Source organism: Homo sapiens, chromosome 1 (assembly GCF_000001405.40).
Source record: "Homo sapiens chromosome 1, GRCh38.p14 Primary Assembly".
NCBI lineage: Eukaryota > Metazoa > Chordata > Mammalia > Primates > Hominidae > Homo > Homo sapiens.
This window is the reverse complement of record NC_000001.11, coordinates 54,814,746-54,828,571: the sequence shown is the minus strand read 5'-3', so window position 1 is coordinate 54,828,571 and position 13,826 is coordinate 54,814,746. Positions and strand designations below refer to the sequence as shown.

Genomic DNA, 13,826 nt, shown 5'->3' with positions numbered 1-13,826 from the left:
TCACTTGAGCCCAGGAGTTTGAGACCAGCCTGGGCAACACAGTGGCACCCCGTCTCTCTCCAAAAAAGAAAAATTGGCCAGGTGTGGTGGCACATGCCTGTAGTCCCAGCTACTCAGGAAGCTGAGACAGGATGGTCTATTGAGCCTGGGAGGTGGACGCTACAATGAGCCATGATCATGCCACTGCAGCCCTGGGTGGCACCCCCGCCCTGGATGGCAGAGCAAGACCCTGTCTAAAAAAAAAAATGGAATCCTTTTTTTGCCTCAATTAATTTTCCATTTGTTATGGCTGCAGTATAAGACGAAAATATTCATTTATACACTTTGTTGCCTGTTTTTGCCTTCCTAGCTCTACGGTTTTAAAATTAACTCTCTTGGAATTTTTTAGTAAACACACATATCATTATCAATTGTAATAATGTTGCTCTTCCTTACCAATATTTTATATTTCTTATTTATTTTTCCTGTCTTATTGCTTTTGCTACAACCTCCAAAACAATGTTAAATAATGCCAGTGACACAAGCATCCCTATCTTGTTCTTGACTTCATTGAGAAACCTCTAGTTACTCAATGTTTTTGGCCTTCTCTTTCAAAGCCCTCATCCTCCTCAAGCCTCAAAGGACCTGCTATTTCTCCCCCAGTCTCTATATAAAAATCTCTATCTTACTAGAGGCTTTTGCTTGGGTCTTTGGCAACAGAGGGTGTTTTAAGTAATTGTAGTTTCTCTTCCTGGATGTCATGCATTTTAAGCCTCTGTAAAGAAATTTTTCCTTATATAAATAAGTAAAACAGAATTCTGCCAAGGCAGGAGCAGCTGCTAAGGGAAAAGGAAGCTAGTGTGTGCAACATGCCTCCAAAACAGCATCGATAGGGGCAGTGTACATTCACCTGTGTCATTCATTCAGTCCTCATAATGGACTCTGAAGGTGATTATTAGTTTACCCTCATTTTTCAGATGAGGGAAGTCTTCTCTGAGCAACTTGCCCCAGGTCACGCAGCTAAGTGGCAGACATGGAATTCTAAGCCGGGGTTAGAAATCCTATAATTCTCACCAGCCTGAGTGTTGGATGTGTTAACAGTGGTGAAGGAGAATGCTGAACACAAGAGAAAGACAGATGTCCAGGAGGAGAACACAGGTGTCCAGGGGGAGAGTCCTGCGGGGATGGGGCACCCTTCCCTTCCTTAAAGTCTTTTGCTAAGCAAACAGCATATAGACTGGACTTTGCAAAAGAGCAGCTGAGAGGAGTGGCCCTGCAGGAGTCTGGGCATGGTACTTGCCCTAGCACCCCCAAATCCTCACCTCACATGGGTGTTGATATGTGTAAAGGATATTGCCCAAGAAGGGGAAGGACTAGATTCTAGTGCCAGCTCTGTCACTCACCAGCTGTGTGGCTTTAGGCAAGTTGTCCCCCTCTTTTCCTCTCTCTGGTCCTGGTTTTAACATCCCTAAAATAAGGCTAACTACCTTGACTAGAAAGGGGAAGAAAATGCTTTTGCACCCAAAAAGTGTTTCATTTCATATGATTTACCATTCAACAAGGCAGATGAATACATGCATTTATCTCTGCTTCCTCCTGCAACCCACTAAAAGTATAAAGGAATTTTTTAAAAACAGACAAATAGGAGGGGGGCTTCAAGATGGCTGACTAGAGGTGCGAAGCACTTGCCTCCTCCACACAGAAGGACCAAAACAGCGAGTAGATAACCACACGTTGAATGTAGCAAATGAGAGAACACTGGAATTCAGCATAGAACTTCTGAGGCATGGAAGGAGAAGGAAGCGAAGCAGCTGGCCTGGCCAGGATCAGCTCAGAGCCAGGAAAAAGTCCCCAGTGTGGAGAAAGGGTGAGCAAGAGATCCCCTGTGTTCCACATTCCCCGCACAGGCTCCTGCAATCCTACCCACAGGAGAGCCCTCAGGCCTTGCAGGCCCTGAGACTAATACAGGGGACTTCTGGGGGTACATGTGACAGCATTGTTCCCAAGAGGGAGTTTGCACTGGGTCCCACCGATCCCCTGATACCCAAGCAGCTGCAGCACAGCACCATTTTGAGAGCCCAGTCCCCACCAGTCTACATCTTGCCCTGGAGCCCTACAGATCCTGTATCTCCAAATCCCTGGGGCCCTGCTGACATCCCCTCATGTCCACTCAGACAGCTGCAGTGTTCCAATGCCAGCTGGACCCAGCAGTGCGGCCAGGTCCCTAGCATTCTAGCCCATGCAGTGTCCTACACCCTGGGGAATGGGCAGGGCAGTGTACTAAATAAGCTGACCTAGGGCAAAGAAAGCTGAAGTTTGTGCTCCCCAGAGCCTGAGAGCTAGCTGCCTGGAGCCACTGCCACTAACAGCAACACTACCTCTTCCAGTGGCAGAGCTGCTGCACACCTGCACACTGTTCCAGGGCCTGAGGACAGGCCCACCCTACCTGAACTCTGGTGCCCAAACTCTTAGGCCATCTTGGGGCCTAAGAATCCACCCGCCCCACTTGCCACTGCCAGTGCCCATGTACACCGTCAGGGAGCCCTTAGACAGGCCCATGCTACCTGTAGCCACTGCCACCAGGGCTTGTGCATGTTGTCCAGGGACCTTGGCGTAGACTAGTGCACCTACCCACTGCCCATGCATGCATCTCCCAGGGGCCCAGGGACCTGCCTACTCAGCCTGCCATCACCACTGCTGGCACCCACTCACACACCACCCAGGAGCCTGGGACTGGCCCCTCTTGCTCACCACTGCCACTGCTGGCACCCACATGCACTACTCAGGGGCTAGAGTAGAAGTTTGGCCCATTGCCACTACTGTCACCACCGATGCCATGCATATCACCCAGGGGCCCAAGGACCTACTGGCTCAGCCCGCCACTGCCAACACTAGCACCCAAACATATCACCTGGAGGCCTGAGGACCAGCCCGCCCAGACCTGCCTCTGCCAGCACTCACATATGTTAACTAGGGGCCCAAGGACTGACATACCCAGCCCACTGTGCCACCACTGGTCCCTGAGGACTAGCCCACCTGGCACCCCCACCCCCAGCAAAGCCTTGCTATAGCCTCTCCTAACAACCACAGCCTAAGCCACTAAGAAACCCAAAGACACCACTGATGCTGATCATAGCTGAAGAAATCATACAGAAACTACATTACTGCATCCACCCAGAATCAAAGCCAAAGTACCATACCCAACCAACACTATATATGCATCTACAGGTAAAGGTAATTCCCACCGGGCGTGGTGGCTCACACCTGTAATCCCAGCACTTTGGGAGGCCGAGGCGGGAGGATCACGAGGTCAGGAGATCAAGACCACCCTGGCTAACATGGTGAAACCCCGTCTCTACTAAAAAACAGAAAAAATTAGCTGGGCGTGGTGTCAGGTGCCTGTAGTCTCAGCTACTCGGGAGGTTGAGGCAGGAGAATGGCATGAACCCTGGAGGCGGAGCTTGCAGTGAGCCAAGATCAGGGCCACTGCACTCCAGCCTGGGTGACAGAGCGAGACTCCATCTCAAAAAAAAAAAAAAAAAAAAAAAAAAGTAATTCCCTATGAAAGACAATCATAAAATTGGAAAAAGTGACTGTTATACTAGATGCACACATATGAACACAGGGACACAAGAAACATGAACAAGCAAGGAAACATCATACCTCCAAGGAATACAATATTTCTCCAGTAACAGATCCCAAACAAAAGGAAATCTATGAAATGCCTGAAACATAATTCAAAATAATGATATTAAAGAAAATCAATGAGATACAAGAGAAAACAGATAAAAATTACAAAGAAGTCAGGAAAACAATTGATGATCTGAATGAGATTCAACAAAAAGATATCACTAAAAAGGAACCAAACAGAAATCCTAGAACTGAACAATTCAATATAGGAAATTAAAAATACAATCAAGAACTTCAACAATACACTACATCAAGCAGAAGAAAGAATTTATGAACTTGAAGACAGGCATCTTGAAATAATCTAGTCAGACAGAAAAAAGAAGAAAAAAAATTACAAGATTAAGAAAGTATATGTGACAGAACACCACAATGGAATAAAATATTATAATTTTGAGAGTTCCAGAAGGAAAAGAGATTGGAAAACCTATTTAATGAAATAATAGCTGAAAACATCCCAAGTCTTGCAAAAGATATAGACACCTAGATACAGGAAGCTCACAGAACCCCCAAATAGATACAATTAAAAGGGCCTTCTCCAAGATACATTACAGTCAAACTGTCAAAAGTCAAAGACAGGTCAGGCATGGTTGCTCACACCTGTAATCGCAGCACTTTGGGAGGCCGAGGCAGGAGGACTGCTCAAGCTCAGAAGTTCAAGACTTGCCTAGGCAACACAGACCCCATCTCTACAAAAAATAAAAAGTAAAAAAATATATATCTAGGCATAGTGGCACATGCCTATGCTCCCAGCTACTTGGGAGGCTGAGGTGGGAGGATTGCTTGAGCCTGGAAGGTTGAGGCTGCACTGAGCCATGATTGCATGACTACACTCCAGCCTGAGTGACAGAGCGAGAACTTGTCTTAAAAAAAAAAGTCCAAAACAGCAGAAACCTTACAAGCCAGGAGAGCATAGGATGATTATTCAAAGTGCTGAAAGGAAAAAACAAACAAACAAACAAAAAAACTGCCAACCACAAATACTACACCCAGCAAAGCTATCATTCAAAAATGAAGAAGAAATAAATTATTTGCAGCATAAGCAAAAACAGGGAATTATTCACCACTAGACCAGTCCTACAAGAAATGCTTGAGAGAGTCCCACATCTAGAAGGGAAAGAGCGACATCTACAATCATGAAAACATACAAAAGTATTAAGCTCCCTGGTAGGGCAAATACACAAATGAGAAAGAGAAAGTAGTCTAACGTTATCCCTACAAAAACCCACCAAATTGTAAAAGTAAACAATAAAAGAGGAAGAAAGGAACAAAAGATATATAAAACAATCAGAAAACAACAAAATGACAGGAGTAAGTTCTCACCTATCAATAACAACTTTGAATGTAAGTGTTTTAAATTTCCCAATTAAAAGATATAGACTGGCTGCTGTCTAGAAGATAACTATCTGCTGCCTACAAGAAATTCACTTCACCTGATAAGACACACATAGATTGGAAGTGGAGGGATGGAAAAAAATATTCCACAAAAATGGAAACCAAAATAGTGCAGGAGTAGCTATACTTATATCAGGCAAAACAGACCTTAAGTAAAAAAAAAAAGAACATAAAAAGAGACAAAGAAGGTCATTAGATAATGATAAAGTGGTCAATTTATCAAAAGAATATAACAATAGTAAATATATATGTACTCAACACCAGAGCACTTAGATACATAAGGCAAATAATATTAGAGCTAAAGAAAGAGATAGACTTCAATACAATAATAGTTGTAGACAAGACCCCACTTTCAGCATTGGAAAGATTATCCAACAGAAAATCAACGAAAAAATGAGACTTAATCTACACTATAGACCAAATGGACCTAACAGGCATTTGCAGAACATTTCGTCCAACAGCTACAGAATACACATTCTTCTCATCAATACATGGAACATTCTCCAGGATAGACCATATGTTAGGCCATGAAACAAGTCACAACAAATTTTTAAAAATCAAAATCATACCAAGTATCTCCTCAGACCACAATAAAATAAAACTAGAAATCAATAACAAGAGGAACTTTGGAAATTGTACGAATAAATGGGAATTAAACAACATGTTCCTGAAAGACCACTTGGTCAAGGAATAAATTAAGAAAGAGGCCAGGCATAGTGTCTCATGCCTGGAATCCCAGCACTTTGAGAGGCTGAAGTGGATGGATCACTTGAGCCCAGGAGTTCAAGATCAGCCTGGGAAACATGATGAAATCCTGTCTCTACTAAAAATACAAAAAAATTACTTGGGCATGGTGATGTGCACCTGTAGTTCCAGCTACTCAGGAGGCTGAGGTGGGAGAATCATGAGCCATGGAAACACAACATACAGCAAAAGCAGTGCTAACAGGGAAGAAGAATATAGCAATAAATGCCTACATCAAAAAAGTAGAAAGATTTCAAATAAACAACGTAACAATGCACCTCAGGGAACTAGAAAAGCAAGAACAAATCAAACCCAAAATTAGTTGAAGGAAAGAAATAAAGATTAGAGCAGAACTAAACAAAATAGAGACTGAAAAAAAAAAAACCAATACAAAGGATCAGCAAAATGAAAGGTTGGTTTTTTGAAAACATAAAATCAATAAACATCTAGGACTTCTAGTACTATGTTAAATAAGAGTCGAACAAGACAAGGATGCCCACTATCAGCACTCCTATTTAACACAGTACTGGAAGTCCTAGCCAGAGCAGTCAGACAAAAGAAAGAAATAAGGCCGGGCGCGGTGGCTCACGCCTGTAATCCCAGCACTTTGGGAGGCCGAGGCGGGCGGATCACGAGGTCAGAAGATCGAGACCATCCCGGCTAAAATGGTGAAACCCCGTCTCTACTAAAAATACAAAAAATTAGCCGGGCGTAGTGGTGGGCGCCTGTAGTCCCAGCTACTTGGGAGGCTGAGGCGGGAGAATGGCGTGAACCCGGGAGGCGGAGCTTGCAGTGAGCCGAGATCCCGCCACTGCACTCCAGCCTGGGCGACAGAGCGAGACTCCGTCTCAAAAAAAAAAAAAAAAAAAAAAAAAAAAAAGAAATAAGAGGCATCTAAATTAGAAATGAGGAAGTTATAAATTGTCCCTCCTTGCAGACAACATGATCTTATATAGATAAAAACCTAAAGACTCCATCAAAACTCTTAGAACTGAGAAGTGAATTCAGTAAAGTTGTCAGAATACAAAATTAACATACAATAATTAGTAGCATTTCTATACACCAGTAACTAGCTGAAAAAGAAATCAAGAAAACAATCCCATTTACAATAGCTGCCAAAAAATATACCTAGGAATAAATTTACCAAGGAGGTGAAAGACCTCTATAATGGAAACTGCAAAACACTGATGAAAGAAATTGAAGAGGACACAAACAAATGGAAAGATATCCAATGTTCATGAACTGGAAGAATTAATATTGTTAAAATGACCTTACATAGAATGGTATTATTCTAACACCATGCAATAAATGGTGTTAGAAAAACTGAATATCCATAAGAATGAAACTAGACCCCTCACTATATATAAAAATCAACTCCAAATTGATTGAAGTCTTAAATGTCAGACCCAAAATTGTAAAACTACTAGAATAAAACATAAGGGAAAAACTTTAGGACACTGGTCTAGGCAACAACTTTATGACTAAAACTTCAAAAGCACAAGCAACAAAAACAAAAATACACAAATAGGACTATATTAAACTAAAAACTTTTGCACAGCAAAAGAATCAATAGAGTGAAGAGACAACGTGTAGAATAGGAGAAAATGTTTGCAAACTATTCATCAGACAAGAAATTTATATCCAGAATATTCAAGGAACTCAACAGCAATAATAATAATCCCATTTAAAAAGTGGGCAGGCTGGGTGCTGTGGCTCATGCCTATAATCTTAGCACTTTGGGAGGCCAAGGTGGGCGGATCACCTGAGGTCAGGAGTTCAAGACCAGCCTGGCCAACATGGTGAAACCCCGTCTCTACTAAAAATACAAAAATTAGCCGGGGGTGGTGGTGTACACCTGTAATCCCAGCTACCCAGGAGGCAGAGGCAAGAGAATCGCTTGAACCCAGGAGGCGGAGGTTGCAGTGAGCCAAGATCACGCCACTGCACTTCAGCCTGGGTGACAGAGCGAAACTCCATCTCAAACAAACAAACAAAAAAAGTGGGCAAAGGACATGAGTAGGCATTTCTCAAAAGAAAGCATACAGATGCTCAACAGATAAATGAAAAAATGCTTGACATCACAAATCATCAGGGAAATGCAAATCAAAACCCCAATTGAGGGATATCATCTCACCCCAGTTAAGATGGCTACTATCAAAAAGACAAGAAGTAACAAATGCTGGCAAGGATGTGGAGAAAAGGGAGCTCTTACATGCTTTTGGTGGGAATGCAAATTAGAACAGCCATTATGGAAAACAGTATGGAAGTTTCTTTAAAAAACTAAAAATAGGCCAGGCGTAGTGGCTCACATCTGTAATCCCAGCACTTTGGGAGGCCGAGGTGGGAGGACCACTTGAAGCCAGGAGTTTGAGACCAGCCCTAGCAACATAGTGAGACCCTGTCTCTACAAAAAAAAAACAAAACTTTTTCAATTAGCCAGGTGTGCTGGTGCACACCTGCAGTTCCAGCTACTAGGGAGAGTGAGGTTGGGGAATTGCTTGAGCCTGAGAAGTCGAGGCTGCAGTGAGCCATGTTCATACCACTGCATGTAAAACAGGAAAAGAAAAGAAGAGAGAGAAAGAAAGCAGAAAAGAAAAGAAGGAAGGAAGGAAGGAAGGGAGAAAGAGAGAAAGAAAGAAAGAAAGAAAGAAAGAGAGAGAGAGAAAGAAAGAAAGAAGGAGGGAAGGAAGGAAGGGAGATAGGGAGGGAGGGAAGAAGGAAGGAATGAATGAAGGAAGGAAGGAAGGAAAGAAGGAAAAGAGAGGGAGAAAGAAAGAAGAAAGAGAGAAAAAGAAAGAAAGAAAAGAGAAAGAAAGAAGGACAGAAAGAAAAGAAATATGGGGGGGAGGGAGGGAAGAAAGGAAAGAAGGAAGGAAGGGAAAGAAGAAAGGAAGAAAGAGAGGAAGGAAGGAAGGAAAGAAAGAAAGAGAAAGAAAGAAAGAGAAAGAAAGAAAAAGAAAAAGAAGAAAAGAGAAGAAAAGGAAGGAAGGGAGGGAGGGAGGGTAGGGAAAGCTGAGGAGACACTTGCCAACTCCTGCCACAAAACCTCAGAAAGTTCTAGGAATGGGACACACAGGTATCTTCAAAAACAGGTGAGGCCGGGCACAGTGGCTCATGTCTATAATCCCAGCACTTTGGGAGGCCACAGTGGTAGGACAGCCTGAGCCCAAGAGTTCAAGACAAGCCTTGGCAACATAGTGAGACTCTGTCTCTACAAAAATAAAAATTAAAAAGTAGCCAGTCATGGTGGCACGCACCTATAGTTGCAGCTACATGGGAGACCAAGGTGAGGATTGCTTTGGCTCAGGAGTTCTAGGCTGCCGTGAGCTATGATTGTGCCACTACACTCCCACCTGGGTAACAGAATGAGATCCCATCTAGACATGACCTCCTGCTGACTCCTCACCCAGCCAGCAGTAGACTGGAGGTTTGGTTTGTGGATAGATTCCAGGGGGCTAGGAGGAGGTGCACAGTGGAATGTAGGCAGACAGGTCCCACAATGAGAAGAGAGGGGGTAGGAGGCAGTCCATACGCTGAATGAGACAGCCCAGTCTCCTTCCTCTGATCGCCAACAACCACACTTACCCCCACCCAGGACAGAGGATTGTTTTCTAGAGAAGCTGAATAGTCCCACAGAAAACACCTAGAGACACTGGCATTTGAGGGTCTCAACAGAAAGACCAGGGCCCCTGCCAATCACTCACAGTGACTGACAGGCCCCAACCAGACTCACAGTATTATTTAGTGCTTTCCTCTTCAGTATGAACAAACAAGCAAAAGAAAAAAAGGAACTTGGAAGAATTGGAGACAACACAGGGGGCAAAAGAACTTCAGGAAAACTTAATTAACATCTTTAGATAAAAGAACATACTGCAGCCAGCCGCAGTGGCTCACACCTGTAATCCCAGCACGTTGGGAGGCTGAGACAGGCAGATTGCTTGAGCTCAGGAGTTCAAGACCAGCCTGGGCAACATGACAAAACCTGGCCTCTACAAAAAATAACAAAAATTAGCCGGGTGTGGTGGTGCATGCTTGTAATCCCAGCTACTTTGGAGGGTGAGGCAGGAGGATCGCTTGTGCCTGGGAGGCAGAGGTTGCAGTGAGCCAAGATTGCATCACTGTGCTCCAGGCTGGGCGTCAGAGTGAGACCTCATCTTAAAAGAAAAAAAAAGAACATACTGCACACTGCATACATGACACAGAACTGGGTGCTATTAAAAGAAGAAAGAAAAGAGCAATCCACAGCAAAAGAACTCTTGGAAACTAAAAAATATGATAGCCAAAATTTTTAAAATAATAGTAGGGTAGATAAGGACAAGAAAATTTTACCAGAAAGTAGAACAGAAAGGTAAGATGGAAAATAAGAAAGAAGAGAGAGAGAGAAAAAAAAAGAAAACTAGAGTGCCAAACCAGGGCATCTAACATTCATCTAAAAGAGATATCTGAAAGGCAGCAGACAGAACACAGAGGAGAGGAAATCGTCAAAGACAAAACTCAGAAGATTCTCTCAGAATAGAAGGTGCTGAGTCTCCAGATGGAGGGAAGCCACTAAGTACCCAGCACAAAGGATGAAACAGACCCATGCCAAGATGCATCAGAACAGGAAGTACAAAGAGAAGATCCTGAAAGCTTCCAGGAAGGAAATGCAGGTCACATACACAGCACAGAAAACCAGAAAGGTATAAGACTTCTCAGCAACCATATTTGAAGCTAGGAGGCTATGAAAGGCCTTCAAAATTCAGAGGGAAAATTATATCCAACCTAGAATTTTATTTCCAACCAAACTATTGATCAGATGTGCAGAAAGGAAAAATAAGAAACATTTTCAGGCATACATTCTATCAAAAATCTTTCCTTCCTCAGCCCTTTCTCAGGAACCCACCAGAACAAGGGGGTAAGTTGAGAAGGAGGAAGACACAGCACTACTTTGATAAAAAATAAAATATTCTTTAAAATTACATTTAAAAGCTGATTTCTCCTGAGAAATCTGGTCCTCAGAATCTGGTCCTCATGTCCTCACCATAATTTCAAAAAAAAAAAAATACTGGATTATAAAGTGCATGTTTGTCAACATTGTAACATTTCTGAAATTGTTACTATATTACAATGGATGGCCTCTTAGGTCAATCAAATATGGCAGCAGCTAACATTTACAAGCTGTTGTATAGTTTGCCACAGTATTTAATGTACCTTTCCCTTCTTAGGCTTTGCAACCTTCTGAAATGAGTTTTACCAACCCCATTATGAACACCAAGAAACAGATTCCACGTGGTGAAGCCACTGAGAGCCGAGACTGGACCGTATGGGCTCTGGGTGGCAGATTTAAGGTTGATTGAGTACCTTTTCCTTACCAAGGGTTTTCAACAGATCATTTCATTTGGGTCTCCTCAAACATCTGCTCTTTTGACAGCTGAAGGAAATGAGGCTCAGCGAAGTTACGCAGCATGCCCCACCTCACACTTACAGTAAGTGGCAGAGCCAGGATCTGAACGTGAACGTCCCTCCACTGCCTCTGCTGTTTGGCTGGCATTAGGGGCAGAAGCTGTGTTCCCATGGGAACCAAACATGGGGAACCACCAGCCCACCCCAGAGTAAGACCCCCCACCGCCCTCGCCCCTTCGCCTGCAGCTCCAGCTGCACTCACTGCATGAGCATGTCCCGGGCCAGGTCTGAGAGGTAGCGTTTGGATCCACTCAGGAATAGGGATCGATATCGCTGCCGCCTGTCCTTTGTCTCCATCAGCCAGGTGTTGAGGTAGCGGCCCACACCTACTGGGTTCTGCAACAGGGAGAGGATGGCAGGACATTAGCAAGCCTGGCTTGGAGACTGTGTCTCGGCTTCCTCTCCTCCCCTTGGACGCTTCCCTACTCCATCTGTTATGAGTTGAATTGTGTCTCCCAAAAAGATATGTTGAGGTCCCAACCCCGAGCAACCCCAGTATCTCAAAATGTGACCTTATTTGGAAAAAAGGTTGCTACAGACATAATTAGTTAAGATTAAGTCATACTGCAGTAAGGTGGGCCCTTCTTCCAATGTGACTGGTGTCCTTTTAAGAAGAGATACACAGGAAGACAGCCATGCCAGGAGACAGGCTGGAGTGACGACTACAAGCCAAGGAACATCAAGGATTGCTGGCCACCACCAGAAGCTACAAAGAGGCAAGGACAGATTCTTCTCAACAGGTTTCAGAGGGAGCACGGACCTGCAGACGCCTTGATTTCAGACTTCTCGCCTCCAGAACTGTCAGAGAATATTTCTGTTGCTTTAAGCCACCTAGTTTGTGGCAGCCCTAGGAAGGGAATACAGCATCCCACCCAGATATCGGGGTCACAGATCCTAGAGGCACCAACAGAGAGGTTGAGAAAGGAGATGCAACTTGCCCAAGGTAACACGGCAAGGGCAGAATAAAGGCAGGACAAGAACCCGGCCATCTGCAGAGAAGCAGTCCTGAGGGGTGGGCTGGGGAGATGTTAGGACCCAGAAGCTGGTCCCATGCTAAACAGAAGTTGCCTCCCACAAGGGAGAAGCCTGTTTCATGAGGCACCCAGGTTTTGGAGGTGCCAGCAGAGGGGCTCTCCCGCCCTGTGGGGTGCGGTCAGCTGAGCCACCAGAACCCGGACCTCACATCAGCCCTTCCCACTTCACAGTGGCTGGCTCTGTGGTAGCAGTAGGGTCATCTGGCTCTGGTCTAAACATTTCATTTGGGGACTCTCAGGTAAAGACTTTCTCCCCTGCAGGGGGTGCAGGCTAGAGGTAAAAAAAGGAAGGATTCGGGGACAACCAGCTGGTCCTCACAAGAATCAGTCACTGGGGTCTGGGCACACTGAGGACCTTGCCACCATGTGGGGAGGTAAGGAGGTGAGGCGGCTGACCTGTGCTACTGGAAGTCAGGAGAACAGGCTATCAAATTGGGGTGGGGGTGGGAATGGCAGGGGCTCTTGGGGAGCTGGAAATGAGAGCTGTTAAATGCTCTGGGGGATAGTTACGGCCATTATGTGACAATTCATGGAGCTGTGCACTTAGGACTCAGCGCCTTTCTCTATGATTATTAGACTCCAATAAAAGGTGCATTACAAACTGAAAAGGGGTGGAGTAAGAAACAGAATGAGGTCAAAGCCCAAGGCCAAGAATTTAGCTGGTTTACAAGAACACTAACTAAAGATACATCGCACACTTGGGGATGGCTGCCTCTGGAGAGAAGGAAGAGAGTGGGAAAGGGAAGGGGCCAGAAGGGGGTCTTGCTCAGTGAGGGACGGGAAATGCACCAGCTTCACCAGCTGCCCCTGAGGCCCAAGACAAACACAGAGGATGGAAGGAGCATTTCTCTGGGAAAATAAGAGAATGGCATGGCTGCGGTGTGATGTTTCTTAGCTAATTGGTTCTCAAAGTGTGGTCCCTGGAATAGCATCATCGCCATCACCTGAACTTGTTGGTAATGCAAATTCCCATGTCCCAACCCAGGCCTACTGTATCAGAAGCTCTGGCATGGGGCCCAGCCATCTGTGTTTTAACAAGTCCTACAGGTGATGCTAATACCAGTTCAAGTTTGAGAACCAATGCCTTAGGAAAATAAGACAGTGGGAGTGGACCTCAGGTCCCTTGGGGAAAAGAAAGGGGAGGCATATGGCTCACTCAAAGCATCGGTTACCTGGGGACAAAGAGGCTTTGGTGTTGGCTGTAGAGGCAGGAGAGAGTTCCCATGTATCCCTCACCCCAGACCCACTTACCCAGCTTCCCATAATCATCTGGCAGGCCTTTGCACCTGACCCCTTGGAGGTCAACAGGAATGGGGGCTGGTTGACGGGTTTGCATTTCTTCTCTTGTGGAAGCCAGAAACTGGGGCCAGATGTGGCCTACGAGTAAGGAAGGAAGGCTGAAATCTGGAGAGGCTCTGGCAGTGTCAGCCTGGGCCCAGGGCAGGTGAGGGCTCTGGCCAGCTGACTCCACCCATCCAGCAGCCCTGGGTCTTGAGCCAAGGACGGTGGAGGTACCCAGCTATCTCCCGGCAAAGGGGCCCTCAT

General features: G+C 45.0%; 1 protein-coding gene across 5 annotated transcripts in view; it reads right to left on the bottom strand.

Moving 5' to 3' along the window:
• Positions 1–13,826, bottom strand: part of CIMAP2 (ciliary microtubule associated protein 2) — a 36,190-nt gene that overhangs the window by 13,681 nt on the left and 8,683 nt on the right. For 4 of the 5 annotated variants that reach the window (XR_001737006.1, NM_152607.3, NM_001110533.2 and 1 more), the window contains exons 8-9: positions 13,533–13,658; positions 11,450–11,583 (exon numbers count right to left, since the gene is read on the bottom strand). Coding sequence is in view for 4 of the 5 variants with exons in the window: in NM_152607.3 (NP_689820.2) it covers positions 11,450–11,583; positions 13,533–13,658 (260 nt within the window). In the remaining variant the exon portion in view is untranslated. Of the gene's footprint in view, positions 1–3,543; positions 3,705–11,449; positions 11,584–13,532; positions 13,659–13,826 lie in introns of those variants that run through there. The other variant, XM_017000480.2, reaches the window with a different exon arrangement.